Genomic DNA, 6,000 nt, shown 5'->3' with positions numbered 1-6,000 from the left:
CTGTACTTCTCCACCCCATTGAATGTGGTCATGTGATTTACTTAGGCCAAAGATCCATGAGTGAAAATAATGTGTGTCACTTCTGAAGGAAGCGTGGGGCAATGAGTCTCCATGTTCTCTCTCCTTTTGCCTTGGTGATCACGGGAGTGCACGTTGACATGGAAGTGTCCAAGGCAGAAGTAGTGTGGAACACTGAGCCCAGATGTGGCAGACAGCTGCCCTGCTCTCTTGGGTGAGCAAGAAGTAAATGTTTATTGTGCTAAGTTCCTGAGATGTTAGGAATTATTACCACTGTATAGCCTAGCCCAACCTAAATGATACAACTTTGAAGCTCCTGGGATAGGCTTGGCCTTAAGTAACTGCACAGTGACAACTTCAGAACATAAACGCAGCAGTGTGGTTCCATGAAACAGCAATTTTCCCTTTACTTACTTAAAACAGACACTTGATCATGTCATTCCTCTGTTCGCAACTCCTCAGTTGCTTCTAATGAAATTTATTAATAAAATAAAATGCAAATCACTAACTTCTCACATACAGTCCCCCTTGCTTTGGTCTTCAGCCTTATTTTGTTCACTCTTCCACTCACTCTCCTGCCAACTGGTCTGCTTACAATTCCCTGAACACGGCACCTACCTTGCTGACAAAGGGCCCTTGTACTTGACAAACCGTGGGCTTGAATTCATCTCCCACACCTTTTATCTTCATGTCCCTACTTAAACGTCAGCCCCTCAGAGAGGGCCCCTCCCACCCAAATGGAAGCAGATGTTCCTTTATTCCTCCTTTCTTATTCCTGTCTTAGGACCTTATCTGTGTCTTTCATATTCATCATGATTGATAATTAATTTTTCTATGGCCATACCACCCTGAACGCATCTGATGTTGTCTGATAATTAATTTTGCTTATGTGTTCACGTTTCCTGTCTTTTTCCAGCAACAGAAAGGATGCCCCAAGAGGACAGAGCCCACATCTCTTTTGGTGATGGTTTTATCCCCAGAACGAAAACACTCCCTGGTTCACAGTAATATTTGATATGGAAAGATGGGGTGGGGCAGAAGAGGTAAAAAAATTAAAAAAAAAAGAGGAAGAGTTGTTCTAAAATTAAATTGGGGTCTTTTGGAATATAAAATACTACCCTAAAATGACTATTCCCAAAAGAAATGGAGAGTTTGTAACAAATGTGATGAGAATTCTGAAGAGTAATGTATTTTTCATGAAATGATTTATTACTTTTAGAAAACAGTATAAACTTACAAACTATAAATTAAGATATAAGTATATTTCTGCCAAAGTAAGTCAAGAAAAATGCACTTCAGAATCAGCTTTTATTACAGGCAATGTATTGTAAACTCGAACATCCAGAATCTGAGTTACACTTATTATTTTTAACATTTTACTCAATAAAAATCTGATATACTGGGTCCAAGTGATGACACATTCCAAATTAATGTAACTTTCTTGCAGCTTAAATAAACAAATTTAGATCACCAAGTGAAATCAAAGCCAAGTGTATTTGCACAACTCAAGAATGATGTGAATGGATTAGAATCTCTCATAGTGTATACTTCGCCATTTATACACAAACTTTGAGAGTCTTCTGAGTGACATGGTATTTAACTTTGTTTCCAAGGGCCAAATACTAAAATGTATAGAATATCCTACTCTATACTCACTATTAAATGTCATGGACTAGGAAATCTGAGACACAGAATAAGAAGCAACTGATTACACACCCTAGTCATTTAAGTTGGAAGAGTTCTCTTAGGTGACTCTGGGTCAGGCCATCTTGATGAGCCTTAGACAAGTTTTCCTTCCCATAAATCCTGCTTTCTCAGGCAGAATCATATACCATAACTGAAAGGAAATGGCTGCTGATTATCTGCTCATTATCTTCTTTCATTCCCTGCAAAGACACCAAAAAAACTGATTTGTTTAGAACCGCCCCCCGCCCCTGCCCCACCCCACCAAAGGCACACAAGTAGATTGTTTGAATCCTTCAGATGAAGTCTGAAGATGAATCATCTGAAGAATCCTTCAGATGAAGATGAAAGGAGATCTTTCATCTCCAAAGATCAGGAGATTATGAGAAGGACAGAAAGAGAACCTGGTGATCAGACAGACACCATCCTTCGTGTTAGCCTTTTCCTGATCCAGAAAGAATCCAGCTTCTAGTTGTAAATGATCCCATCCCTACTTTCTAAAGTTAGCTGTTACTAGGGAGATGTTACAGAGAAGGAGCACGTATTAAATTTATGGTTCTCTTTTGTTTCTATTTCAACTAGCACATAATAGAATTCAAATCTTTCTCAAATACCTAGATTTTTCCTTTGTGAGCAAAAGACAAAGTATGGTTTAAGGGTTAGAGTCTATTAGATTCAACCTCATTTCTGCTCTGCCTTCTAGGGGTTTTTAGGCTTTCCTCAATATCAGAAGATAGGTGGGCTCCTCAGTCAACTATTGATAAACATTTATTTAGCAGAGGTCATGCATTTGCAGGGTCTTTGCTGCCTGCTAGATTATAAATGAACAATAAAATGTCGCTAATCTCTTAGTCCCAAGTTAACTGCTTCTTCTGTTTTCTACTGCACTCAGAATGAATGAATGAGTGAGTGAGTAAACGAATGAATGAAAGTTTGAATGCTTACCTAAAGGAAGACAACTGTTGTCTTTCTGGTGGACACTCAGTTAAGACTACAAAAGCTTAAGGTGATACTTAGAAATGCAGGAAAAAGAATCCACATACATTGTTTTAAAGTTTTATTTGCTTACAAAAGAAAATGGAAATAGGTTTGCGAAAACTTATCTGCATGTACAAAGTAATCCCCGTAGATAAGGAGAGGCAACCCCTGGAACACACTGCTGGATAAATCGTTCATTAAAATTATATCTCTTTGCATCAGAGCTGGTGGAAAATCATTATTTCACATGAGTTAAAACCACTGAAAAACTAAATCTGTTTCTTAAACTACCAAATTCAGAAAGCTTAAATCCAAATGCTGATTTTTGGATACACATGAAACCAGTTACCAAGTGATCTCAGAGTTGGACAGATCAATTAAACAAGAGGTAGTTTCTCCAATATTGTCCCTTTTTTTCTTATCAGCAAGGTTATTCCTACAGCAAGTAGGAGTAAGTGACATATTCTTTGAACCTCTTTGAATTCTTTTCCTGCTAGGGACATATTTCCCTCAAACACAATCATATCTGTTTGTTCATTTTAGGACTTGAGAGAGAAGATTCCAGAGTTCAATTTATTTTTCCCAATTCCTCTTTGAGCTCTCTTCTCTGGAAAAACAAATTATCTGACATGCCATTAAGACACCAAAGGGAAATCATTGCTACCATGTCATAGATTAAGGGAACTTTTTAAAAATATATATTTTTTGTTAATAATAATAATAATATTAACATTATCCAAGGAGGAGATTTAGGCTGCTGAAATGAGCCCTGCCCCCCAAAAGTAGCATACAAACCACATAACAACATTTTCTCAAACAAGATTCCTTAAGAGTTCTTGCAGTTGGTCTTCAAATTTCTCCTGAGGCTATCAGACTCCAGGGCCCCACAGTTCCATGGCTTCCAGCTCATCTTGGACAGGGGTGAACTCTGGCTGATCTGGATGGGGAGCTAAAGAGGAAAAGTGGGGGTGGGGACTTGCTGCACCCAGGAATCATAAATTGATATTCTCCCCTCACCTGGGTCCTTAGAGACACAGAGATATCCTGCTGGGTAAAAAGCAGTGGATGTCTTAATCCACCACGCCCCTTGTACCTTCCCCATAAGGTTTCAGACAGTTAGTAAATAGACGAAGGGAAAGATACATTACAGAAATTGTTAGAAAACTAGAATCATAACCAACCATTTAAATATTATGTTTTATTTACAGAAGAAACCCTGAAAACTCAGCAAAATTATAAAAGAAATAGAAATTTTTTTAAAAAATCTCATGTTAGAAGTCCATCACCAGGGAAGAGCAGGGAGGGGAGGTGATCAGGGGAGGAAGGGAGAGTAGGGTGGTCAAGGAGAAAGATGCCCATCCATCCTGTGTGGGGAGAGGAAGGAGGAAGAGGCACAGTTAAGTAACTTTATTATGAAGCTGTCACACAGGGGAGTCTGGGATAAATTCTTGGCACACGATCATATACCTCTATCCAGGCTGACATGGAGCAGTCAGTGTCTATTAAAATAGACATATATGATTTGGTTAAGTTCCGATGTTATCACTCCATCATGTTTGGAGCAGAGTGGGCAAGAGGTTTGAAAGTGGGAAGGCAGGGATGCAGAAGAAGCAGGGAAGCAGAGTGTCCATTGTTAGGGGCAGGGGCTTGGTGGTGGTGGTGGTTGACAGGACAGTTCTGTATCCACAGCTAAATGTCTGGGGCCAATGGAACCAGAGTGGAGGATTTCCACTTCAGTGCTGGTAATCATTGTAGGGGATCAGATCTTAATAAGGATAGGAGTATTTGAGAGAACAGGGAGGGAAAAGATGAACAGAGAAAAACACATCAGCAAAACTTTGTTGACCAATTCCTGTGATAACTAAGGTTAAATTTCTACTGAAGCAGAAAATTTTAAACCCATTAACTAGTAAGTTCATGGCCCCACAGCAGTCCCTCAGCCTCTCCCTTGATGCTTCCAAGAGTGACTATGTCAGAAAAGGGGCCATTGCACAGCACGCCAGCATGCACACTGCAGATGTTTTAGGAAGCATATTCTTTTAGTCCAGTAGCTAGTGATAAGACAAGGACAGCATGATTTTTGTTTCCTCTCACAACTATTCTTGGTCACCTAAAATGTGGTGCTTAAATGCACCTAAATGCAAGTGGTATGCATGATTTCATTGAAAATAATCTAAGGAGCCCTCTTAATTACGGGAGAAGTTCTAAGTTTGACATTTCCCCAAACCAAGAGTAAAATTTTATGGGACGTCTTGGCCACATCACAGCTGTCACATAAGAATGGAGACTCCAAAAGAATGTTCAACCATGTCCTCCAAATGTGCTAAATACAAAGTCAGAGGCCAAGTCTATGTAGGTCATCACTGGGAAGCAAGGAAGACTTAGATGTGCTGTTATTTTGAATTTGCTCTTAAGGTTTTTAAGGGAGTAGCCTCTATAGCAATTTGCACTTTATAGAAAATGTCTCGGGATAATTTAAGGAAGTGAGGCATTCAAGCTCTGCTTCCCATTCATAACCAATTTAACTTTTTTCATAGCACTATCTTCCCATTTTGGTACTAAGCATACTAAAACATTGATCAAAGCCCACAAGCGGGGCTTTTTGTGACACTTACCTCTCACACCATAGGCAGAACATGATGAGGGGTCACAATATCCAGGCTGGCCAGAAGGACCTTGGGGTCCAGGAACCCCCAGATGACCTGGTGGGCCTCTTGGTCCAGGAGAGCCAGGGGGCCCAGGGCTGCCAGGCCGACTCTCCCCTGAAGGTCCTAAGAAGTACCCACAGATGAAAACCGTTGGTCTTTTGCCACAACAGGGTGAGTTTTGAGACAACCAAGAAGTAAACTAACTCTTAGAAGAAGCAACTTTTAGGACAATTAGGACAACCTCTTTCTACTCATTGAGTTCTTTTTTGTAGACTGGATTCCCTAGGCAGAGGGTCATAGTGTAATCACTTATCCTCCTGGAGGTCAATGCTCTCAATCAGCTCAGGAAACTGGCAAGCAAAATGCATCTTTTCTATTTCCTCTTGGATGTTAAAGGGAAAGGAACCTTCCATTATCAACCTTATTTTCTTTTTGGAGCTTTTGTTTCCCAATGCAGTTCCTTATGAATCCAATCTATGGGCGTGCACACACACAGACACAAACATGAACACACTCAGAGCTCAACCTCATCATCTAGTTAGAATAGCCATGCAATTCAGTACCAGTTTATGGCCCCAGATAATTAAAGCTCAACCTCATCAACAGTTAGAATAGCCATGTAATTCAGTACTGGTTTATGGCCCTAGATAATTAAAGTAAATTTGTATGAGTG

At 39.9% G+C, this 6,000-nt stretch overlaps 1 protein-coding gene across 11 annotated transcripts in view; it reads right to left on the bottom strand.

Annotated features, from left to right (window-relative positions):
• COL14A1 (collagen type XIV alpha 1 chain) overlaps nucleotides 1,207–6,000 on the bottom strand; it is a 249,120-nt gene continuing 244,326 nt past the window's right edge. For 5 of the 11 annotated variants that reach the window (NM_001413490.1, NM_001413493.1, NM_021110.4 and 2 more), the window contains 2 exons: nucleotides 5,295–5,450; nucleotides 1,207–3,628 (listed from right to left, as the gene is read on the bottom strand). In NM_001413490.1, coding sequence (NP_001400419.1) covers nucleotides 3,549–3,628; nucleotides 5,295–5,450 — 236 coding nt within the window. In that variant the 3' untranslated portion in view covers nucleotides 1,207–3,548. Of the gene's footprint in view, nucleotides 4,445–5,294; nucleotides 5,451–6,000 lie in introns of all 11 variants that reach the window. The other 6 variants (NM_001413491.1, NM_001413494.1, NM_001413495.1 and 3 more) reach the window with 3 other exon arrangements.

This window comes from Homo sapiens, chromosome 8 (genome assembly GCF_000001405.40).
Source record: "Homo sapiens chromosome 8, GRCh38.p14 Primary Assembly".
Taxonomy (NCBI): Eukaryota; Metazoa; Chordata; class Mammalia; order Primates; family Hominidae; genus Homo; species Homo sapiens.
This window is presented reverse-complemented; position numbering and strand designations above follow the sequence as displayed.